This window comes from Homo sapiens, chromosome 10 (assembly GCF_000001405.40).
Source record: "Homo sapiens chromosome 10, GRCh38.p14 Primary Assembly".
Taxonomy (NCBI): domain Eukaryota; kingdom Metazoa; phylum Chordata; class Mammalia; order Primates; family Hominidae; genus Homo; species Homo sapiens.
In genome coordinates this window covers 97,561,350-97,585,052 of record NC_000010.11, presented here as the reverse complement: position 1 = coordinate 97,585,052, position 23,703 = coordinate 97,561,350, and the positions used below count along the sequence as shown (strand labels likewise).

Genomic DNA, 23,703 nt, shown 5'->3' with positions numbered 1-23,703 from the left:
CCTCTCCCATAATAAAATGACCCACTGAGTACCAGACTATCCCTGGACAGCTTGACAGAGCCTGTGTACCCTCCCTTGGTCTCTGGCTAAAGGGCCACTCACATCTCCCCAGGTCCCACAGAGGACAGCCCCACTTACCTCGGAAGGGGAAGGTGCCCAGTTTGTGCAGATTCTCCTCCAGTTTCCCATAGTCCACCTCTGCAGTGGCAGTGAAGGGGGTGGTCACAGGGGGGTAGATACCCGCAATGTCCACCTTCTTCCCCTCCCCTGAGGCCCAGACCCCCACATTCCTGGACAAGCTCCTGCTTAGCCCCTGCCTCACAGAAGACCAGACTTGGGGACCCAGCATCTCTGCAGGAGGCCTGAAGCACAATTGGTCTATGTCCCAGAGTGAGACTTAGTTTGAACTCTTTCTAACCCCCTATTAATGATCAATGTTTCTAGTTAAAAATTTGCGGCCTCCCTGACTTGTGGCCACTGGGGCAGGCCTGAGCTGGGTGTTCCCAGGGTCAGGGGCAAGGCCTATAGGCCCCAGGGGGCCCTGTTCCTTCTGGGTAGCAGCTAGAGAGATGCCACAACCCAGTGTCCCTCTGGCCAGATATAGGACTGGTTTCTGGGATCCCAATACTAAAGAGTATCTCCTTCGGTATCTCCAGTGGGATCTGGGCCCTCCTCCCACAATTCCCAGCTCTGAAGCCAGAAGCCCAGCCAGGTTTCCACGGGCAGTTCTGAGGTTGGTGGAGCTGATTGGCTGAGCAGGTCCTGCCCTGTGGGAGGTGTGGCAAGGCTGGGCAAGAAGCTGCCTGTGACAGGCTGTCCATCCCCTGCCCCGCTCCCTTACCAGGCTCCTCCTGCCAAGGCAGCCACGTGACAAGCCTGTGCTAGCCACTCACAGCCCCACAGGACAGCAGGCACCAGGAAGGGGGCCAGGATGAGTGTATTACCAAGTCAATCCATGCAGGGGCCAAGCCTGGCCCTGGAGATGTGAGAAGGGGCAGGAAAAGTTGAGTGGCAGGGAGGAAAGGAAAAGAGACCACAGTAAAGAAGCTGCAGGGCTGGCTCAGAGGGCCAACCGGCTCCCAGTTTCCCTCCTCCCCAAACCAGCATTTGCCCCCAGTCTTCCTTCATTCCCAAAGATTTCAGACACAAGTGGAAATGAACATCGCAATTAGCAAAAACAGCTTTTTTATTGTGGTAGTTTGTGGTATGTGCTCCTGGATCATGCAGAAAAAAGGCTGGGCCCTCAGTTAGCTCCGGGAGCCATTCTTAGGACCCTCCGGCTGCACACAGAGAGGGGCTGGGTAGCTGGCTGGGCTGGGGCACGCATTCACTGGGCTGGCACAGGCTGAGGGGTCTCTCGCCCACTATCATTAGGCCCCTCCAGCCCGTTATGCTCAGCCCCCGGCTCAGGATGCTCCAGGGCGTGCCGGGTATCAGCCTGCCAGAGCTGCACCAGGTCCGTCGGGGTCTTTCCTGCCTGGAGGGGGCGGGACGGGGCGTGGGGGTTGGCAAGAGAAAATCTGTTAACTGTCCTGAAGGCTTTCACAGAAGGTACCCTCATTGACACCACCAGTGCTTCTCAAATGGGGGCAACTGGCATTGTGTGAAGATACTTTTGGTTGTCACACTAGGGGATGGGTACTACTGGCATCTAGTGGGCAGAGGCCAAGAATGTTGCTTAAATATCCTACAAGGCATAGGATGGTCCCCTACAACAAACAATCACCCAGCCCTAAATGTCAATAATGCTGAGGGTGAAAACCCCTCATTTATACCTTCTCCATATTTTCCTGCTTTTCTCATTATCCCTTTAGCCTTTCTTGAGCCCGAGGGACTCTCCCATGGCCTCCTTTTGTGAATGCTCTGGGCCCCAAAGAAGAACTTGGACTAAGTGTTCCCTAGTCCAAGGTGTTCCCTGGGCACCTTCCCCTTCCAAGGACTTCCTGCCTAGATCCTAAGAAAACTCAAAGACCACAGGAGCTGACATGGGGTGCTAGGAACTGTCATGCCAGCTGAGTGCTCGGTCCCTTCCAGCTCTGGCCTTTCATGATTCTGGCCTCCTTGGGCCAGTACTTGAGGACCCCCTCTGGCCTACTTGGGGGTCTTTGGGAAGTCCTCTTGCTGCCCCTCCTGCTGTCTCTCTGCACTTGCACTCTGGACATAGACACACATAGAGAATGGGGCGGACAGTTGGAATGGTGCTCTGGAAGAGGACAAGTTTATGTACTATGGTGCTGGCCAGAGCCAATGATACATGTCCCTAGGCGGGGGCTGCTCCAGGGACCAGGACAGCACCTCCACTGTATGAGTGCTCACGCCAGTGACTGAATCAAGGAGGGAATGAGCTTACCAGGTTCTTGGTCATCATGTCAGCCCCATGCAGGAGCAGCAGTTTGATGATTTTGTAGCGGTTGAGCCTCACAGCGTCATGCAGGGCAGTATCCCCTTCCTAGAGTCAGTGTGGCACTCACTATGGCCCTTGTGGGCAGTGGGAGGAGGCAAGGGTGATGGGAGGTGGGCTGGAGACCCTGCTCAGGAGCCAAGTCCTGAAGGCCCCAGGAGGAAGGACACCACCTGTAGGGGCCCGCAGGCTGCCCACACACCCATGGCGGGTGAGCAGCGGACAGGCTAGCACTCACCCTGTCTCTGGCATTGATTTCCAGGCCCAGGGATAGAAAGTGCTCCACAATCTCCACCTGCCCTGTCCGGACTGCCACGTGCAGCGGGGTGCTCAGCAGCTGGGTGGGAGGAATCAGGAACTGCTAGTTGACGGGGCCTGAACTGTGGTACCCCTGGGAAGGCGGGGGCTGTCCTAACTCCAGCTTAATCCCTCTTCCAAGTCCTAGTGCCAAGGCCTGAGCCTTGGAGGGGCAGAGAATGGTACAATTTCTTACCATCCTATCCAATGGCCTAACTCTAAAGCCTTAAATGCCACTTCCTCTGGGAAGCCTTCTGTGATTCTCCTCTCACCCAGCTGCTCACTCTTCTACCCTTCTTTTAATAATCATAATATATGTCATTTATTGAGAGATGACTATGTAATGGACATGGCAAAAGCTTACAAGACATTTGCCTTATGTTGAATAAATAATTCATTTACACATGTTTTCCCACCTAAGCTACACAAGAACTCTGCAAGACATTTCACAGATGAGCAACAGAAGCTCAGAGGCTGTCACTTGTTCAAGGTTGTACATGAAATAATGAATGAATAGAAGGATGGTGCATAAATAAATAAATGAATGAGGGGATGAATAAATGGAGGAATGGATGGATGGATAGACGGATAGATGAATAGATAGGTAGACAGAAGGATAATGACAGATAACATGAACAAATCTTGCATCTTTTGAGTGGTCCCAAAGCCCCCAACACAGTGAGTCTCTTGTCTTCCCTTCTTGTCTGCTCTTCCTGCTCCTATCCTCAGATGGTGGTTCCTCAAGGGCCTGTGTGGATGGCAGGGACCCATCCCTGGGCTGGGAGGCCCAGTAGGACACTGTTTTAGCTTCCCTGCTCTGCAGCCAGAAACCAGACTAGCTCACTACCTTCCTGCCCCCTAGGCTTTCCTGCCCTTGGACCCCTGCCTTTCTCCCCACAGCCACCCCAATATCTGTTGCTTCTGAGTGTTTTTGCCTCACCTTATCCCTCACATTGGTGTCTGCTCCATGGCTTTGCAGAAGTTTCACCACCTCTAAGTGGCCCCCGCGGCAGGCCCAATGCATGGCTGTGCAGTCCAGCTAGAAAGAAATGAGGGGGTCTAACTACAGAGCTGCAGGGAAGAAAGTATTCGGGGGTAATGTACCCCAGCCAGGAAGGCAGAGGGATATCTAGGGGAAAGGTACAGGGAGCAGGCCTGGGCATGGGCAATGGACCAAGTGGAACAGAAGAACACTCAGGGCCCATCTGGTCCAAGCCAGACTCACAGAGGATGCTTAGGGAGGAGAAGGGGCTTACTCAAGGTCACATAAGCCACTGAGGTGGAGTCTGGCACCTGAGCAACCTGTTTATGCTTCAGGTTGGCACAGGTGGCAGGGAGAGGGTGTCTGTCAGTGCTGGACCCACCTCCTGTCTCCCATTGAATACCTGCCCTCTCACTCACCCGATCCTGGAAGTCCACAGTGGCCCCATTATCTAGAAGCTTCTCCAGGATTTCCATGTGGCCTTCCAGGGAAGCTCGGTGCAGTGCTGTCCGACGGAACTGTCCCCAGAGAGGCTGTCAGGGCCTGGCCTCTGGCTCCAGGCCTGAGCCCATCTCCCACCCAAGCTGAGGCCCAGGCCTTCCCCCCAGCTTGATTCTCACCCCTGTGCTTGGCCCCCATGTTTTCTGTGTTCTGCCAGCTCCCTTATGCTCTATCCAGACCAGCCTGGGAGCCCTCTGCCCCAGGGAACCCGACCTTCTCACTGCCCCCCAGGCACATCAAGCCATGCCTCTCTACAGGTGGTTTCCTCTGCCAAGCATGCCTGTTTTGCCCTCACTTCCTGGGAGTGCTTGATAAAATCTGCTACTCCTTCAAGATGCAGCTCAAATGCCATCATTTCCTTGAAACCTCTAGGCCAGGGCTTCCCTAGGGCCCAGATGACCCTTAACTGTGAGAGTGTGTTCGAGGGCAGGTCAAGTCTTGCTGGACTCCCCAAGTGCCTAGCACAAGGCCAGCATGAACAGGTGACACTGATCACTGATTCAAAGAAAGAATAAACTTTTCCCCTTCTCCTTTCTGCCTTGGACTTTTGAAACGCTCAAGCCACAATATCTTTCCATATTCTCATGATCTGGTTACAGGACACACACAGTGAGTATCTTTCCTTATTCTAATGATCTGGTTACATGTCAGTCTCCCCAAGGAACCAACCCTGGTCTGTTTTTTTGTTTTGTTTTGCTTTTTTTGTTTTTTTGTATTCTGGCACCTAGCATGGTGCTCGGAAGTAGGAGGTAGTTGGACAGACTGAGAGGATGAAGACTCTGGAGTCTAAAGAACAGAAAGGACATGTGGTCCAAGTCTACAATAATGCAGACCAAAGGTGGAAAACCACTAATGTGCCAAATTCCAGGATACGAGAGCAAGAAAGCACCCCGGGAAGTGTGAAAGAGGCAGTTTCAGGCAAAACAAAAAGAAGTATGATGGGTGATGAAAAATTTAGAAAATATGGCTGTAAGGGGCCGGACACGGTGGCTCATGCCTGTAATCCCAGCACTTTGGGAGGCCGAGGTGGGTGGATCACCTGAGATCATGAGTTCAAGACCAGCTTGTTGTCAAGGGCCAACATGTTGAAACCTTGTCTCTACTAAAAATAAACAAATTAGCCGGGTGTGGTGGCGGGCGCCTGTAATCCCAGCTACTCAGGAGGCTGAGGCAGGAGAATCACTTGAACCTGGGAGGTGGAGGCTGCTGTGAGCTGAGATCGCACCGCTGCACTCCAGCCTGGGGGACAGAGCAAGACTCCATCTCAAAAAAAAAGAAAAAGAAAAAAAAAGAAAATATGGCTGCACAACATTGTGAATGTAATTAATGCCACTGAATTGTACACTTAAAATGGTTAAAGTGGAACATTTCACGTTATGTTTTACCATGAAAAAAAAATAGGCCAGGAGTGGTGGTTCAAGCCTGTAATCCCAACACTTTGGGAGGCTGAAGTGGGAGGATTGCTTGAGCCCAAGAGGCGAAAGTTGCAGTGAGCTGAGATTGCGCCACTGCACTCCAGCCTGGGTGACAGAGTGAGACTCTGTCTCAAAAAAAAAAAAAAAAAGTACAGTACTATACCATGAGAAACAAAAATATCATATCTTAACACATGCTTGATAGTTTCTTCATTCATTCAGTGAATACTGAGTTACTGAGGTGCTAATATTCCTTTTTTCCTTTTACCAAAAAAAAAAAAAATCTATATCTTTATCTATATATGTATAGAGACAGGGTCTCACTCTGTTGCTTAGGCTGGTCTTGAACTCCTAGGCTCAAGCGCTCCTCCCACCTTGACCTAAAGTGCTGGGATTACAGACGTGAGCCACAGTGCCCAGCCTAATATTCCATTTGATCACCGTAACATGTTGTGAGGGAAGTAGGCCATTTTACAGAGGAGGAAACTGAGGCATGGAGAGGGCACCGACCCAGCCACAGGTCCCACAACTCGTGAGTGAGAGAGATGGGATTTGAGCCCACATCTTCTGGTCCTGGTCTGTTTTTATTTGATTCTATTTTTCTTTCTTTCCTAAACAAACATGTGACATTTGTTGCTCTGCAGGTGATTCAAGTTGGAAAAGGGTTTAAGGATTTAGGTCAATTCCTGTACGGGGAAGGGACACCCATTCTGAGCGCCCCAGCCACCCACCCATCCAAAGAACACCGGTGCCTCCTCTCAAATAGGCTCACAGTGGGCTGACCCAGGAGCCGAACGGAGTGGGGGTGGCAACTGACAGGGAGGCTGGTCAGGGGCGGCTAGGAGCATCACCTGGTCGCACGTGTCGGCTGACCCCCCGTCAGCCAGGAACTTCTCAATGACCTTCATTTTCCCCTCCACCGCAGCTTTCAGGAAGGTCTCCTCATCCACAGGGCCAGTCTGCAGATGTGGACGCAGCAGTCACGGGCCGTCCCAGCAATCCGAAGCCTCCCGGGCTCCCCCTCCGCCCCCTCGCGGTGTCCTCCCCAGGACCCTTACGATCTCCTCGGGCTCTGGGGGCGGCTCATGCGAGGCGGCCAGAGCGTCCCGCTTCTTCTGCTTGCGTTTCTTCCGCAGCTCGATGAGGTTCTGGATCCCGCCCACATCGATGATCTCCCGCCGCAGGTCCAGGGACGTCTTGCGCACGCGCTCTTGGCCCTGCGCGGGATGGCCCATCAACCCCCCAGGCCGGGCAGAGAGTTTGGGGGGCTTGGGAGACCTCTGAGCTAAGCTGGTGGGGAGGGTGGGGTGGGCAGGAAGACCCTCTTAAGAAAGAAGGAACCAAGGTCTATCCCTCCTTCCAGGCCTAGATGGCTCTCACATTGGGGGAATTCTGACTCAGTAGTTCTGGGACGGGGCGGAGATTCTGCAGGGCTAGCAAGCTCTACCGGGGGTGCTGAACTGCTGGTCCATGGGCCACGTGGGGAGAGGTGCAGACAGGCCATGGCTACCTGGCTGGTCCCCTGGGTGCAGACATTGGATCCTCCCAGGCTTACCTTCACCTTCTGCAGGGCTGCACTCTGAGCCCCGTGGTGCTTCTCATCCTCCAGCACCAGCAAGTCCATGGGCAGCTTCTGGCGTGCGTCTCCTCGGAGTTTCTGGTGATCCAAAGAGGGCACCTTCTCCAGGACCCGAGGAGACAGGCAGCCTCTCCCCCAACCACACCAAGGACACCCCACAGAGACATCCTCCTGGGTGGTCTCAGAGCCCTTCTGGCTGATCCTGGGGAGCCCCCAGCAAGAGCAGGGCCCCTGGAGGGGCCCCCAAAAGGGGTGAGTTCCCCACCTCAGCTTCAGCCCCAGTCCCAACCCTGAGCTCAGACACCTGCCCACTAACTGGCCTGGATCCCTGCAAAACAACATTAAAGGCCACCAGAGTTGAGTTTTTCATGAGATTAAATATATTCACTCTTTCAAGCACCAAGATTATTTTTTTCTTTACTTTTTTGGCATTAAAAATTCACTTTGGCTGGGTGTGGTAGTGCCAGCCTTTAGTCCCAGCTACTGGGGAGGCTTAGACAGAAGTATTGCTCAATCCCAGGGGTTCGAGACCAGCTCCAGAGACATAGCAAGATCGTGTCTCTAAAAATAAATAGGCCAGGCACAGTGGCTCACCTCTATAATCCCAGCACTTTGGGAGGCTGAGGTGGGAGGATCTCTTGAGCCCAGAAGTTTGAGATCAGCCTGGGCAATATAGTGAGACCCCATCTTTACAAAAAAATTAAATAATTAGCCAAGCGTAGTGGCTTTTGTTGTAGTGCCAGCTACTTGGGAGACTGAGGTGGGAGGATTACTTGAGCCCAGGAAGGGGAGGTTGCAGTGAGCCAAGGTCATGCCACTGCACTCCAGCCTGAGTGACAGTGAGAGAGAGAGAGAATGACCCTGCCTCAAAAAATAAATAGGCCAGGTACAGTGGCTCACGCCTATAATCCAAGCACTTTGGGAGGCCGAGGCAGGTGGATTGCTTGAGCCCAGGAGTTCGAGACCAGCCATAGGCAACATGGTGAAACCCCATCCCTACTAAAAATACAAAAATTAGCCAGGCGTGTTGGCACGCACCTGTAGTCCCAGCTACTTGGGAGGCTGAAGCACAAGAATCACTTGAACCCAGGAGGTGGAGGTTGCAGTGAGCCAAGATCGTGCCACTATACTCCAGCTTGGGCGGCAGAGTAAGACTCGGTCTCAAAAAATAAATAAATAAATAAATAAATAAATAAATAAATAAATAAAATAAGTTTTAAAAATAAATAATTCACTTTGATGAAATGATTATGATGAGAGATGATTACTTCTTAAATGTTCTTACTCAGCAATATAAAATTTGGCAGCTCTTTGTTAGATACTATTTTTTTTTTCTCTCAGATTTCACTGATCTGTGAAGTCTAGAGCTTGGAAACTATTGCTTTCAGGGGAACTTGGTGATGGGAGCAGCAGCTCCTCAGCCTTCAGCCTGAAACGGGCTCTAAGTCTTAACCTTCTTTTCACTGTAATCCAGGTCCAACTGCCTGCCAGGTCTTCTCTGCATTTGCCCTCTGATTTTCCTGGACTGCTTCTTCTCTCTTTGTGATGTGCTGGCACTCCCATCTCTGCAGTCCCCACCAGGCAGCTTGTGTGGCTATGAGTCCAGGAACAATTGCCCAGGTTGGAGGGTCCTGAGTCAATGTGGCAGCTGGGAAGGAGGCCACCCTTACAGAGCACTCAGGCCCCTTTCCCATTCCTCCCTGAGCTCCCGCATTTGCTCCTTCAGGGTGGTTTTGAGAGCCGATTTCCCAGGTCTTCATTCTGAAGGTTCTGTTAGCCACTGCTTTCTCTCTTTCATGTTGGGCTTCATGGTTTGAGGTCTCAGTGCTGGCCTAATCAGAAACACTGCATCTTCTTCCAAGAATGAAAGATAACCTGGGGCTGCAGCTACTGCTGCATGTGGGACTCTGGCTGGGCTCCTCAGGGAGCATCCAGAGGGCCAGCTTGTGTATTTTTTTTTTTTTTTTGAGACCGAGTCCCACTCTGTCACCCAGGCTGGAGTGCGGTGGTGTGATCTCGGCTTGCTGTAACCTCCACTTCCTAGGTTCAAGCAATTCTCCTGCCTCAGCCTCCTGAGTAGCTGGGACTACAGGCGCATGCCGCCACGCCTGGCTAATTATTTTTGTATTTTAGTAGAGACAGGGTTCCACCATGTTGCCCAGGCTGGTCCAAACTCCTGAGCTCAGGCAATCCGCCCACCTTGGCCTCCCAAAGTGTTGGGATTACAGGCGTGAGCTACTGCACCCGGCTATAAATTTTGTTGTTGTTGTCACATAGATGAGAGGTTTCCATGTTGTCCAGGCTGGCCTCAAATGCCTAGCCTTGCCTCCTTATGCGCCAGGACAACAGGCCTGAGCCACTGTGGCTCCCGAGCTTGTGTCTTAATCATCTTGGTGTCCCCAGCATCTGTGACAGGCTCTAGCACATAGTAGGTGCTTAGTGACTGGTGAATGAATGAATGATCGAATGGATGATGGCAAGCAGACTCAGCATCTCTGCTAACCCTTAAGTTCTCAGTGATGACCTAACCCAGTAAACTCGCCACAGTGGAACTCCAGCCCCTGCACTGGCCTCTGGGGCCCTCTTTCCCCTCCCACCCTGGGGATGGGGCACAGGCTAGACAGAGGTTCTCCTCCAAGAACCCTGCCAGGCTGGGGCCTGGTAGAGACAACTGGGGACTCTAATGCTCACCCACATCTTCCTCAGACCCTACAGCCCTTCATTTCAGGTTTGTCTTTGTGGGCTGGCACACAGTAGGTGCTCAGTAGCTGTTTGCTGCATTGAATGTGAGTTCATGAAACACACAAAGCTCCCACTTTACGTCATAGATTGCTATGCAGATTAAATGGGAGAATGCCTGTAAAATGCTTAGCACAGGGCCTGGCACTGGTGTCCTGACAGCTCTGTAGCTATATTTATTGGATGAATGAACGGAAGACACTGCTCTGCGTCCCCTTGCTGAAGGTCTGTGTGTCTATTGGCAGCACTCCAGAACTGGCATAGCAGCATGACTCACCTGCCTGGCACCAGCCAACCATAGGCACATGCCCTTGGGGGAGGGAGAAGTGGGATTCCTAGAGATCCAGGGATGCTTGCCCCAGCCAGGGCTCATTCCAAGCTCTTTCCTGACCTCATCCCTTCTTCCCTTGGGGTCTTGACCCTTCCTTCCTCCTCACCCCTCATTCAGTCACACTCCTTTTTTTGAATGGCATCTACCTCCAACCTGATTTATCTCCTCCCCTCCATTCCTGCTAGGGCCAGCCTTTTCCAACAAGTCCTTCTCAGGGCCATCAGAGCTGCTTTCCTAAAATAGGTCAGATGACACCAATCTCCCTCACTCAATAACATTTAGTGGCTCCTCACTGCCCACAGAATAAATATCTTTTACATGGCCCTCTCTGGCTTGTGTCTTTCCAGCCTTAGCCCCTACTACCAGACTTTATCAAGACAGCCACGCTTTCACTCATGGAAACTTCAGCTCCTGCATTTCCTGAGGCTGGAATACCCTCCACCATCCTGGACTCCACTGAGTCCCCTTGAAGGCCCAGCTCAGGTATCCTCCTGTCCACAGAGGAGTCCCCTTTTTTTTTTTTTTGAGACGGAGTCTCCCTCTGTCACCCAGGCTGAAGTGCAGTGGTGCGATCTCGGCTTACTGCAACCTCCGCCTCCCAGGTTCAAGCAATTCTCCTGCCTCAGCCTCCTGAGTAGCTGGGATTACAGGTGCCTGACACCATTCCTGGCTAATTGTATTTTTAGTAGAGACAGGATTTCACCATGTTGGCCAGGTGAGTCTCGAACTCTTGACTTCAAGTGATCTGCCCACCTCGGATCTCAGATCTCAAAATGCTGGGATTACAGGCTTGAGCCACTGCACCTGGCCCTGTCCACAGAGGAGTCCTTGAAGGCCCTCAGAACAATTCATGAGCCCCTTGTGTTCCTCCACTTCTGATTCACACCTCTATTTAGTCATTTCTTCCCTTTGCCTTGTTTCTTAGTTGACTATGAAACCAACAAATGGGCTAAAATGAATCCTGGGTTGGTAAAAAGAAGGCAGGGTCTGACCCTTATTGGTCCACCCATTTCTACAGCTCTGGGCTCTTGGCAGAGCCAACACTAGATGAAGTATTAGTTTAAATAAAGTGAAGAGTAGGGGCCGGGCATGGTGGCTCATACCTGTAATCCCAGTACTTTGGGAGGCCAAGGTGGGTGGATCATCTGAGGCCAGGAGTTTGAGACCAGCCTGACCAACAGAGTGAAACCCCATCTCTACTAAAAATACAAAAATTAGCCAGGCATGGTGGTGCATGCCTGTAATCCCAGCTACTCGGGAGGCTGAGGCAGGAGAATCGCTTGAACCCAGGAGGCGGAGGTTGCAGTGAGTCAAGATCATGCATTGCACTCCAGCCTGGGCAACAGAGGGAGACCCCGTCTCAAAAAAAAAAATGCAGAATAGGACAAGCCAGCACCCCCTGCCACCGCTCCACTTCCTTATCCCAGAGAAAATGCAATTGCCCAGAACACCACACGCCAAAGGACTCCCCAAGGGTGGCCAGCAGGCTGGCAAAATCCATGCTTCATTTCCCAGCATCCCTTCCTCACTCTCTTCTTCACTGGCCAAATACTGGAGTTTCCCCTGCCCCAGCCTCCCACTCAGTCACTGGGGCATCACAGGGCCACACATTCCTGAAAGTCCCAGGCAGCACCCAGCTGTCTGCTTTGTACAGCCCACTGTCTCTCAAGGCCCAGGAGGGTGAGCAGTCTTAGGAAGCCCAGCCCAGCTCCCCATCTCACTGACTTAATTTTGAAGGCTGAAGCCTCAGTCTTCTGCTGCCAGCAATACCCCCTGCCAGTAATACCCTGGGACAGGAATGAGGCCCAACTGGGCCCCTGGGGACATCTGCCCCCCTCCCCACCACAGGTGTAGCAGACAGGATCTCCCTCCCCTTGACAGCAGAACTGGATCTCCTCAGACCCCCTTGGGCACCTCCACCCCTGCTCGCACCTCATTCTCCTCCTCCTGTGCCAGCCGCTGCTCGATGAGCGCTGTGGCCCTCTGCACCGCCTCGGAGTCCTCCATGGTGCCGTCCATAACCGCCTCTGCAGGCCACAGGGCCTCGGGGGCTTTATAGGCCAGAGCACCCACCCCTGCCCAGCTGGGCGCCTTTGCCATGAGCTCACTGGCCCAATTCTCCACCTGCCTCCCCCACCTGTCACCTTCACCTCGGGCAGCCCCAGGGAGCAGGGGGAGCCAGGGCCAGGGAGCAGAGCCAGTTGCCCCCCCAACTCCTGGCCTATTAGAGCCGGAGGGCACTGTGTCCCAAGAGCAGGGGTGCAGGAAGGAGCCCGTCCAGCCTCTGTCCTGAGCACTTGGGACTGGTTGGGCCTTAGCCAAGGCAACTGAGTTGCAAAAGGGAACTGCTGGCTGCATGCTCCAGCCCAGATGACAGTGCCACCTGCTGGATGCCTGGAAACCCTGCTCAGCCAGCTCCAGGAAGAGGGCCTGAAAACCAAACGGGGGACCCAGGACAGTTCTGTACTCCCAGGCTGTCCTGCAGACAGGCCCTGCTGGCTGTGAGGAGGGTCACACTCTACTTGTCCAGGCCAGGGCCGTGGTAGCAGGAAGGGCAGCTGTCTCCCTCTCTGATCACAGCTCACGCTGGCCTTCGGCTCTCCGGGGTCCCACATGCTTCCCCGTTAAGCATCACTGCATTTGGCTGGGTGACTTTTAGTCATGAACAAACCTTATCCAATCTGTCTCCTCTCTTGGTAAGTGCTCAGGGGACCTCTGCAGGGCTTACAGAGTCTTGCTTCAAGAAAGGGGTCTCCGGAAAGCACTAAGCCCAGCTAGCGAGGAACAGCAGCTACTCTGGATCCTTCTACCCTCCCAGGGTTTCCCTGTCAGGCCCAGACAGTGCCAGACTTCCCTGGCCAGGAGGCTGCCCATGCTCACTAAGAAGGAAAAATACTCCCAAGTGGAGCAAAAGCAGATCTGTACTTGCTCAGTTCCACACCTGGAACTCGCATGCTGGAGCTCTGAGTCACTGTGACCCAGGTTAATCTGCTAGGGAACTGCAGACACCCAGCCCTGTGCTTCTGTAAGGCTCACCTGGCTGGTGGCTGCCCTTAGCTAAACAGCCTTATATAAGATTCCCTTCTCTTCAGATATGCATGCATTCCCCTAGGAAGCATGAGGAACCGGTTCCTTTTCCTTTCTGGTTCCCTTGCTGGGAAGCTGACACAAACCTCTGACACACGATCTAAATCTGTCAGAGATTTTGCTTTAACATCACGATGGCTACAGCGTCTCCAGGGCCGGAAGTTAGCCCCTCTTGCTGCAGGAGCAGACCACCTTCCTGAGGTGCTGTCTTCGCCTTGCAAGCACTTTCACATCTGTCTTCCTGCTTAATCCTCCCAGCAACTGATGGAGGAGGCAGGGCAGGCAGCATGGCTCTGCTTTAAAGAAAAGCAAAGAGTGGCTTTTCCTGAGGACTCATGAGGACACCAGGGGAGCTGGGATCAGGGCCCAGAAGACTGGCAGTTCCAGGCTCACTCTGCTGGAGATTGCATGCCCAGAGCAGCTGGGGAGGCCAGGCATCCACCTGTTCCCATACCAGAACAGCTCCAGGGGCCCCACAGAGCTGCAGGAGAATTCAGTCAAATGCCAGGCAAGCGAGAAGGAGCAAAAGGCTTTATTGATAAATATGCAGATATGTCTGTCCACAGGGACCTGCTGTGGAGGCCATGACCAGGCTGCAGACCTCCCACTGCCTGGGTTACAGCCAGGACATGGCCCTGTGCAGACCCTGCCACGACAGCCCAGCTGTCCACCACCCGCCTCATCTCTGCCAATTGTGCTGGGGGCAGGGAGAGGCAGAGGCCCGCCTCAGGCTTCCCAAGCCCTGGGGCTCACGGGTGGTTCCCTCCCTTCCAAGGGAGTGGCACTGTGCCCAGGGGAGAGCCAGGGGATGGGGGCAGAGGAGGGAGACAGCAGCTGCTTCAGACCCTGAGCAGAAAACCAGAGTGAGCACAGCTGGCAGCACCAGATGACAGATCTGGGCTCCAGGGGCCTCCTGGTTGGCCCTTGTGGCTCGAACCTGCTTCGGGAGACAGGCAGGGTGAGGGCCCTGTTCGCCTTTTCTCTGACAAGGTTGCAAGGCCCGTGTGTGGCTGCCTGCTCCCTGGGTACCGGGAACTGGTGGCGCGTAGTGCCCTGAAAGGCAGGGTCCCTTCACGGCTCACCCACCAGCCACACCGAGGGGAGGGCCCCTGAAGAAAATGACAGCACTGGAAGGCAGCAGCAGGGTGGGGGCCTAGTGCTCCAGGCGGGGCCTCTTCCCAGGGGTCCGTGGGCCCATCAGTCCTGGGGTGGTGGGGGCTGGTTGATGATGACCTGGATGACAAAATCTTTCTGGATCTTGGTCTCCTGGAGCCGTGTGCGGTCTGTGAGCAGCTTCCCGGAGAAGAACCACCGCTGCCACGATGGCTCGATGCCCTCCTGGGCGTGCAGCTGCCTCTTGAGCTGCCCCACTGTGTCGGGCAGGCTGGCGCTGAGCCTCACGTCCTTGCCCGTGGACAGGCGCACCTTCAGCGGGAACTCACGGCGCACGCTGGGTGGAGGCTCGGGGGGCTCCAGGCTCTCCTCCTCCGTGTGCTCCAGCAGCAGGTTCACCGGCGGTGACAGGCAGTAGATGGGCAGCTGGTAGCGATTGCCCAGCTCATCGTAGCATTCACAGAGGGTGCCTGTAGGAGAGGCAGGGCTGTCAGAGTCAGCTTGGGGATCCACTATCATGGATTAAATGTTTGGGTCCCCCCAAATTCATATGGTGAAACTCTAACCCCCAATGTGACTGTATTTGGACATGGGGCCTATACAGAAATAAATAAAGTTAAATGAGGTCATAGCGTGGGGCCCTGACCTTCTGACCCCTTGATGGGAAAAATGGTCCTTTTTTTTTTTTTCTTTTGAGACAAGATCTCCCTATGTTGCCTAGGCTAGTCTCGAACTCCTGGGCTCATGCAATCCTCCCACCTCAGCCTCCCGAGCAGCTGAGACTACAGGTGTGCTCCACTGCCCTGGCTTACAGTTCTTGTAGAGACACTAGAGCACTATCTCACTCTCCACTCGCTCCCCATGTGAGGACACAGCAAGAAGACGGACACCTGCAAGCCAGCAACAGAGTCCTCACCAAAACCTGAACCAGCCAGCACCATGATGCCGGATTTCCCAGCCTCCAGAACTGTGGAAAATAAATGTCTCTTGATTAAGTCACCCAGCATGTGGTATTTTGTTACAGGAGCCTGAGCAGACTAATACACCTGCCATGGCCACCCCACAGTCAGATCTCCCTAGGACAGCCTGATGACCAGGTGTACAGGGCTGGAGTCAGGAAGACCTGAGCTGGCATCCCAGCTCCACCAGGTACTGGCTTGTTCATCCTGGCATATTATTTTTCACTTCTTCACATGTGCCAGGTGCTGGGGTTACAGGGATGAATGAAATAGCACAGCTCTGCTCTCCATGGGCCTTAGTGTCCTTACTGGCAAAACGTAATGCATGGAGAAATATGTTTATTGTCTCTTGAGCACCTACTAAGTGCTGGGACTGGACTAAATGATGTTATGTGTATCTTACTGAATCCTAATAATCATCTCCCCTTTACAGTCGTAAGGCAGTCAGGCTCTAAATTCGAGAAGCTCCTTGCTAAAGCCAAGACAGTTAGGAAAGGGAAACATTCAGACTGAAACCCAGGTCTGTGGCCAGGCGCAGTGGCTCACGCCTGTAATCCCAGCACTTCGGGAGGCCAAGGCGGGCGGATCACCTGCAGTTGGAAGTTTGAGACCAGCCTGACCAACATGGAGAAACCCTGTCTCTACTAAAAATACAAAATTAGCTGGGCGTGATGGCGCATGCCTGTAATCCCAGCTACTCAGGAGGCTGAGACAGGAGAATCACTTGAACCCAGGCGGCGCAGGTTGCGGTGAGCCGAGATCGCTCCACTGCATTCCAGCCTGGGCAACAAGAGGGAAACTCCGTCTCAAAAAAAAAGAAACTCAAGTCTGTGATTCTAGGGCTCCACTGTCACCCTCTGCTTTACATGGCCCCATAAGACTGCTATGAACTTACGTGAGCTAATGCAGTGGAAGTTTCTAGTTCGGTGTCCAGCACATAACAACCCAATAAAAGGTCAGTGCCTTTGGGAGGCTGAGGCCAGTGGATCACTGGAGCTTAGGAGTTTGAGACCAGCCTGGCCAACATGGTGAAACCCCGTCTCTACTAAAAATACGAAAATTAGCCAGGCATGGTGGCACATGCCTGTAATCCCAGCTACTCAGGAGGCTGAGGCAGGAGAATTGCTTGAACTCAGGAGGTGAAGGATGCAGTGAACCGAGATCCCACCACTGAGCCTCAGCCTAGCCAACAGAGCAAGTAAGACTCCATCTCAAAAAAAAAAATAAAATAAAAAGGTCAGTGCCTTGGATGTTCTGGGGTCCCAAAGTGCATTTGTGACACTGCTTTGCAGGTTTGTTGTCTTTCTGTCATGTCATTAGGCAAGCATAGACTGTGTCTCTTTTTCTTTGTGTACCCACTCCTGGTCCATGCTCAGTAAGGGGTGCTTGAATGAATGAATACGTGAGTAACCACCTGCCCCACCGCTCCACACTCCTCAACACCCTCAAACTGTGCTGGTGACCCCCTAGCTCCAGCGGGGATAAAGCCCTGGCCCTGCCCACTTACCATGAGGCAGGGTGATGCTGGCTCCATCCAGGATGGCCTGGGCCAGCTCGTGGTCGTTGGCTTCAGCAGCATAGGCGGCAGCCTTGAGGGCATCCCAGATCTCCTTGCGGCCCTCGAAGGCAGGCGCTGTGTCCCAGAACTCATCCCGTTTGCTCCGCAGCTGCCCGTCAGTCATGGGGTAGTCGCTCTTCCACTTAAGCCGCTCTTTCTTCAGGGGCTCATTGCGTCCTGGGCAGGACAGAAGGAGAGGCTCAGCATCTCTAAAGCCACTTGAGCTGCAACCTGCCCTCCCCCTCCCCTCCCCTCCCCAGGCCAGACCCTGAAACCCTGCTGCACTGGCTACTAAGTATTCAGGTCTTTGAAGCCCTTCCTAAATAGCAGGGAAGAGTCAGAAAACTTCACATAACCAACCTAGGGACATAAAATAATTGTGTCAGCAAAGCATACGCTACCATTGTTTTTGTTTTTTGTTTTTTGTTTTTGAGATGGAGTTTCACTCTTGTTGCCCAGGCTGGAGTGCAATGGCATGACCTCGGCTCACTGCAACCTCCGCCTCCCGGGTTCAAGCGACTCTCCTGCCTCAGCCTCCCGAGTAGCTGGGATTACAGGCGCCCACCACCACGCCTGATTAATTTTTGTATTTTTAGTAGAGATGGGGTTTCACCATGTTAGTCAGGCTGGTCTCAAACTCCTGACCTCGTGATCCACCCGCCTCAGCCTCCCGAAGTACTGGGATTACAGGCGTGAGCCACCGCACCCTTCCCACATGATGTGGGGCAGGGCGCGGTGGCTCACGCCTGTAATCCCAGCACTTTGGGAGGCAGTAGGATTGCTTGAGCCCGGCAGTTCTAGACCACCCAGGGCAACATGGTAAAACCCTGTTTCTACAAAAAAATTTTAAAAATTAGCCAGGCATGATGGCACGCTCCTCTAGTTCCAGCTACTTGGGAGGCTGAGATGGGAGAATCACTTGAGCCTGGGAGGTTGAGGCTGCAGTGAGCTGTGGTCATGCCACTGCACTCCATCCTGGGCAACACAGCGAAACCATGTCTCAAAAAAAAAATTATTAACAATTTTAACATCTTGTTACTAATGTCCCACTTAAAAAAAGGATTTTTTAAGCAATCATGACCAACAAACTCCCCCAAAAATTCCTGCAGCATCTGACAAAGAAAACAATTCTGTCAAATGTCATTTTTCTTGTTACCCAGCTCCAAGTGACCTCCAAGACAACTCCAAACCACAGCCAAGACTGAGGGCAGAGGTATCTCTCAAAGGCTTTTGGAGGCTCAGTCATCTCAAAACTAAAGGCAGAGTGAGCCACAGGAGTGAGATGTGAAGCACTCTGCTTCCACTATAACTCAGGTCCTACAGTGAGTGGAAGAACTGAGGCTGGGGGCCACCACCAGGCTGCTCCCACTGGCTGGGGCAAAAGGAAGCAAGGAAGAGAATTGCAGGCAGCGATCTCCGCTGAGAAAGAACCCCAGGCAAGCCTTTATTTATATACATGATCCCATTTCATTCTTGCAGTAGCCTTAGGCAGTAGGTATTATTATTGCTATTTCACAGGTGATATGACAGATTTAGAGAGATTAAATGACTTGCCCCAGGTCACATAGTAAGTGAGTGAGGGTTCCACCTCAGGTCTGACTAAATCCTGTAGTTCACCATCTGAATTCACAGTTACCTGTAGGGGCAGAAAACTCTAAAGCCAAATATTTAATTTAAAGTGTTCCTGGGGTGGTGAGGTGGCAGAAGGAAAGGCAAACCCTCTTTGGAGGAAAACAACTTCAAACCAGGCCTCAAAGAATTCCCAAGATAAAGTTCCAAGAAAAATAAATAAGGTAATAGTTTTAAAAAAAAAAAAAAAAATCTCAATATGCAAGGAAACAAGGCAGTACGAGCTTTACTGGCAAAAACAGCAGACAAAAGAATCAGATTTGCAAAGACTTTGGATAGATTATGAAATACTGAGTTAAGGGATGAGGGCCTTAAAAATATGAATAAGAGATTATAAAGAATGACCAAGGAGATTTTTTAAAAATGTTTAATTTTTGTGGGTACATAGTAGGTATAACCAAGAAGATCTTAAAAGAACCATATAGAACTTCTAAAAATTAAAAATACAGGCCAGGCCTAGTGGCTCACACCTGTAGTCCCAGCACTTTGGGAGGTCAAGGCAGATGGATCACTTGAGCCCAGGAATTCGAGATCAGCCTGGGCAATATGGCAAAAACCTGTCTCTACAAAAAATACAAAAAATTAGTCGGGCATGGTGGCATGCAGCTGTAGTCCCAGTTATTTAGGAGGCTGAGGTGGGAGGATCACCTGAGCCCAGAAAGGTTGAGGCTGCAGTGAGCCATGATCATGCCACTGCACTCCAAATCCAGCCTGGGTGACAAAGTGAGACCCTGTCTCAAAAAAATAAAAAGAAAATAAAAATAAAGAAAAATACAATATAATTGAGATTCGGATGTCTTTTTTCTGTTTGAGAGACAAGGTCACTCTGTCGCCCAGTCTGGAGTGCGGTGGTGTGATCATAGCTCACTGCAGCCTCAAACTCCTGGGCTCAAGGTATTCTCCCCCAGCAGCCTCCCAAGCAGCTGGGACTATATAGGTGACACTATGCCCTGCTAGGTCTAAAATTTTGAACTGAATTTCCAGAAGTATACAATAGGGAAAATGGGAAGGAAGCAACATTCAAAGAAATCATGGAGATGTCCACTCCCCCTAAACTGATCTATAAATGTAATACAATTCCAATATAATTCCTGTCAGTTTTTTCCCAAGGAACCTGGCAAACTGATTCTAAATTTTATATAGAAGAACAAAGATGTTCCTAGAAAAGAATCAGGTGGGAGAAGTTGTGCTGCCATGATCAGCATTAATTATAAAGCTACAGTTGGCACAGTACTGGAACAGGGACAGACTGTTGGACAAAAAAAGCCAAACCCCGTAAAATATTTGAAGAGATTTATTCTGAGCCAAATGTGAGGGCCATGACTTGTGATGCAGTCTCAAGAGGTTCTGAGAACATGTGCCCAAGGTAGTTGGATTACAGCTTGGTTTTATATGTTTTAGGGAGATTTAAGACATCAATCATTACATGTGAGATATACATTGGTTTGTGTGGAAAGGAGCGACAACTTGAAGGGGCGGGGACTTAAAGGTCATAGGTGGATTTAAAGATGTTCTGGTTGGCAATTGGTTGAAAGAGTTATTATCTTAAGTCCTCGAATCAACAGAAAGGAATGTCTGGGTTAAGATAAGGAGTTGTGGGCTGGGGGTGGTGGCTCATGCCTGTAATCCCAACACTTTGGGAGGCCAAGGTGGGCAGATCACCTGAGGTCAGGAGTTCGAGACCAGCTGGGCCAACACTGTGAAATCCCATCTCTACTAAAAATACAAAAATTAGCTGGGCGTGGCAGCAGGCACCTGTAATCCCAGCTACTCAGGAGGCTGAGGCAGGAGAATCACTTGAACTTGGGAGGCTGAGGTTGCAGTGAGCTGAGATCGTGCCACTGCACTCCAGCCTGGGTAACAAAGAGTGAAACTCCATTTCAAAAAAAAAATAATAATAAGGAGTTGTGGAGACCAAGGTTCTTATTATGTAGATGAAATTTCACAGGTGGCTGCCCTTAGAGGCAATAGATGGCAAATGTTTCCTATTCAGACCTTTAACAGGTGCTAGATTTTTAGCTAATCTCTTCAGGATCAGAAAAAGACCTGGAAAGGGAACGGGATTCTGTAAAGAAAATGTAAACTTCCCCCATAAGAGACAGTTTTGCAGGGCCATTTCGAAATATGTCACAGTCCATTTGAAGGTACAGTCCATTTGAACTTTTATATGGACGCACTTTCTTGCTCGGCCCCAACCTTGTCCCAGACACCAGCCCTCTAGGCGACTATCTTCCAGTCCTCCAGCAGGCTAGACAGGAAACTCGCCAGGCTGCTAATCTTCTCTTGCCTACTTCAGATTCCCAGCCATATGAAGACACCCTAGCTGGACGATCAGTTCTTGTTAAGAATCTGACCCCTCAAACTCTACAACCTCGATGGACCGGACCCTACTTAGTCATCTATAGTACCCCAACTGCCATCCGCCTGCAGGACCCTCCCCATTGGGTTCACCGTTCCAGAATAAAGCTGTGTCCGTCGGACAGCCAGCCTGATCTCTCCTCTTCCTCCTGGAAGTCACAAGTACTCACCCTACTTCCCTTAAACTCACCTGCATTCCTAAAGGATAACAGTAATCCTTATAAGCCTAATACATCCTTTCATTTTTATTAGGTCTATTCTTCCTTACCCTATCTTTACAACAGGCTTTATTCAGTCACCCCCCACCCACTCGGACTGCACCCCGAAAACTTGTCATCCCTCCTATCTTCTGTCTAGTCATACCCCATTCACCATTTTTAACTACTCATAAATGCCCTGCCAGTTTACACTTTTCCTCCAAACTATCATAGCAGATATCTCCTAGTACTACCCCTAATCCGCCACTCTTGACTCCCTCTTGGAGTGGATAGATGATCTTTGCTGACGGGGTACCCTCCAATACTTTCACTCTGATGAAGTCCCTTTTTTCACTTTTCTACTCACTCTTATACTTGCCCCCATTCTCCAGTCACTCTCTACCTCTCCCTACCTATCTCCACCACACTATCAATCTACTCACTCTCTCCTAGCCATTTCTAATCCTTCTTTAACAAACAATTACTGGCTTTGCATTTCTCTTTCCTCCAAAACTGACGAGGCCTCGATTTACTCATTGCTGAAAAAGGAGAACTCTGTATATTTTTAAATGAAGAGTGTTTTTACCCAAATCAATCTGGCTTGGTATATGACAACATAAAAAACTCAAGGATAGAGCCCAAAAACTCGCCAACCAAGCAAATAATTACGCTGAACCCCCTTGGACACTCTCTAATTGGATGTCCTGGGTTCTCCCAATACTTAGTCCTTTAATACCTGTTTTTCTCCTTCTTTTATTTGGACCTTGTGTCTTCCGTTTAGTTTCTCAATTCATACAAAACCACATCCAGGCCATCACTAATCATTCTATACGACAAATGCTCCTTCTAACAACCCCACAATATTACCCTTTACCCCCAAATCTTTCTTCAGTTTAATCTCTCCCACTATAGGTTCCCACGCCGCCCCTAATCCCGCCCGAAGCAGCCATGAGAAACATCGCCCATTATCTCTCCATACCACCCCCCAAAATTTTCGCTGCCCCAACATTTCACCACCATTTTGTTTTGTTTTTCTTATTAATATAAGAAGACAGGAATGTCAGGCCTCTGAGCCCAAGCTAAGCCATCATATGTCCTGTGACCTACATATATACATCCAGATGGCCTGAAGGAACTGAAGATCTACAAAAGAAGTGAAAATAGCCCAGTTCCTGCCTTAACTGATGACATTCCACCATTGTGATTTGTTCCTGCCCCTAACTGATCAATTGACTTTGTGACAATACAGCCTCCCCGCCCTTGCAATAATGTACTTTGTGATATTCCCCCGCCCTTGTGAATTACTTTGTACGATACACCCTCCCCACCCTTGAGAAGGTATTTTGTAATATCCTCCCCTGCCCTTAAGAAGGTACTTTGTAATATTCTCCCCTCCCTTGAGAATGTACTTTGTAAGATCCACCCCCTGCCCACAAAAAATTGCTCCTAACTCCACCACCTATCCCAAACCTACAAGAACTAACGATAATGCCACCACCCTTTGCTGACTCTCTTTTCAGACCCAGGCCGCCTGCACCCAGGTGATTAAAAAGCTTTATTGCTCACACAAAGCCTGTTTGGTGGTCTCTTCACATGGATGCGCGTGACACCGAGTAGCTGGGATTACAGATGTGTAACACCACACCTCGCTAATTTTTGTATCTGTAGTAGAAACGGGGTTTCACCATGTTGCCAGGTTGGTCTCGAACTCATGACCTCAGGTGATCCACCCGCCTCAGCCTCCCAAAGTGCTAGGATTACAGACGTGAGCCACCACGCCTGGACCGTTTTAATGTTAATGCTGGTCAGCTGTGCCTGAAGACACAGTCCGAAGGGAGGAGAGTATAATGAGGCCTGACTCCCCCTCCCATCATGGCCTGAACTCGTTTTTCAGATTTCTTTGGAATCCCCTTGGCTGAGAAGAGGGGTCCGTTCAACTGGTTGGAGGACTTAGAATTTTATTTTTGGTATACAAGACAAATGAGAACAGAGAGTCCAGAAAGAGATCCAGGTGTGTACAGGAACTTGCTCGTGGTGAGAAGGAACATTCCTCTTGCAGGTGGGAGGGGAAGATGACTATGTGTGACAAATGATGCTCGTGAGGGAAGAGAGAGACCCTCTCATATTGTTTTATATGGTTTTATACTCAGTACCCATTTTAAGAAAAAACAACAAGGAAGTAAAACCAAAGACAGGCAGCCCGGCGCCAGGCCCAAAACCAGACCTGGGCCTGCCTGGCCTAAAACCAGTAGTTAAAAATCAACTCATAACTTAGAAACTGATGTTATTCATAGATTCCAGACATTGTATAGAAGAACATCGTGAAACTCTCTGCCCTGTTCTCTTTCTCTCTGACCACCGGTGCATGCATCCCCTGTCACATACCGCCTGCTTGCTCAAATCAATCACGACCCTTTCATGTGAAATCTTTAGTGTTGTGAGCCCTTAAAAGGGACAGAAATTGTGCATTCAGGGAGCTCGGATTTTAAGGCAGTAGCTTGCAGATGCTCCCAGCTGAATAAAGCCCTTCCTTCTACAACTCGGTGTCTGAGAGGTT

General features: G+C 51.1%; 3 protein-coding genes across 8 annotated transcripts in view, besides 2 other annotated features; all 3 read right to left on the bottom strand.

Moving 5' to 3' along the window:
- The window catches only part of HOGA1 (4-hydroxy-2-oxoglutarate aldolase 1), a 28,414-nt gene extending 27,750 nt beyond the window's left edge, over nt 1-664 (bottom strand). For both annotated transcript variants that reach the window (NM_138413.4, NM_001134670.2), the window contains exon 1: nt 139-664. In NM_138413.4, coding sequence (NP_612422.2) covers nt 139-349 — 211 coding nt within the window. In that variant the 5' untranslated portion in view covers nt 350-664. The remainder of the gene's footprint in view (nt 1-138) is intronic.
- Nucleotides 1,169-12,612, bottom strand: ANKRD2 (ankyrin repeat domain 2). 5 transcript variants are annotated; one of them, NM_001291218.2, is made up of 9 exons: nt 12,178-12,612; nt 7,152-7,253; nt 6,655-6,813; nt 6,448-6,555; nt 4,100-4,198; nt 3,639-3,737; nt 2,640-2,738; nt 2,351-2,449; nt 1,169-1,477 (listed from the first exon to the last, which is right to left on the bottom strand). In NM_001291218.2, the coding sequence occupies exons 1-9, from the start codon at nt 12,601-12,603 to the stop codon at nt 1,328-1,330; spliced, it is 1,341 nt and encodes a 446-aa protein (NP_001278147.1). In that variant the 5' UTR covers nt 12,604-12,612; the 3' UTR covers nt 1,169-1,327. The 5 variants fall into 5 exon arrangements, with proteins under 5 accessions (NP_001278147.1, NP_065082.2, NP_001333722.1 ...); NM_020349.4 differs by having other exon boundaries at nt 12,178-12,550; NM_001346793.2 differs by having other exon boundaries at nt 12,178-12,274.
- Nucleotides 10,027-10,321: a silencer, noted in NCBI's record as "tiled region #14301; K562 Repressive non-DNase unmatched - State 23:Low". NCBI's record gives its function as "represses a minimal TATA promoter and a strong SV40 promoter by Sharpr-MPRA in K562 cells {active_cell/tissue: K562}" and the evidence as "EXISTENCE:reporter gene assay evidence [ECO:0000049][PMID:27701403]".
- Nucleotides 13,847-23,703, bottom strand: part of UBTD1 (ubiquitin domain containing 1) — a 72,283-nt gene continuing 62,426 nt past the window's right edge. Inside the window, exons 2-3 of the mRNA NM_024954.5 lie at nt 16,912-17,139; nt 13,847-14,915 (exon numbers count right to left, since the gene is read on the bottom strand). Of these exons, the coding sequence (NP_079230.1) occupies nt 14,530-14,915; nt 16,912-17,139 (614 nt within the window). The 3' untranslated portion in view covers nt 13,847-14,529. The remainder of the gene's footprint in view (nt 14,916-16,911; nt 17,140-23,703) is intronic.
- Nucleotides 18,193-18,282: a silencer, noted in NCBI's record as "silent region_2682". NCBI's record gives its function as "represses an Ori minimal core promoter by ATAC-STARR-seq in GM12878 lymphoblastoid cells {active_cell/tissue: GM12878}" and the evidence as "EXISTENCE:reporter gene assay evidence [ECO:0000049][PMID:35858748]".

Bases quoted from the DNA above. Each gene is read 5' to 3' on its own strand.
- ANKRD2 (NM_001291218.2), bottom strand. From the start codon at position 12,603: ATGCAGCCAGCAGTTCCCTTTTGCAACTCAGTTGCCTTGGCTAAGGCC. The intron at 7,254-12,177 runs GTGCGAGCAGGG...TTGGATCACCAG, and splicing joins CACAGGAGGAGGAGAATGAG to AAACTCCGAGGAGACGCACG. The intron at 2,739-3,638 runs GTGAGGCAAAAA...CCTCCCACCCAG, and splicing joins ACACCAATGTGAGGGATAAG to CTGCTGAGCACCCCGCTGCA.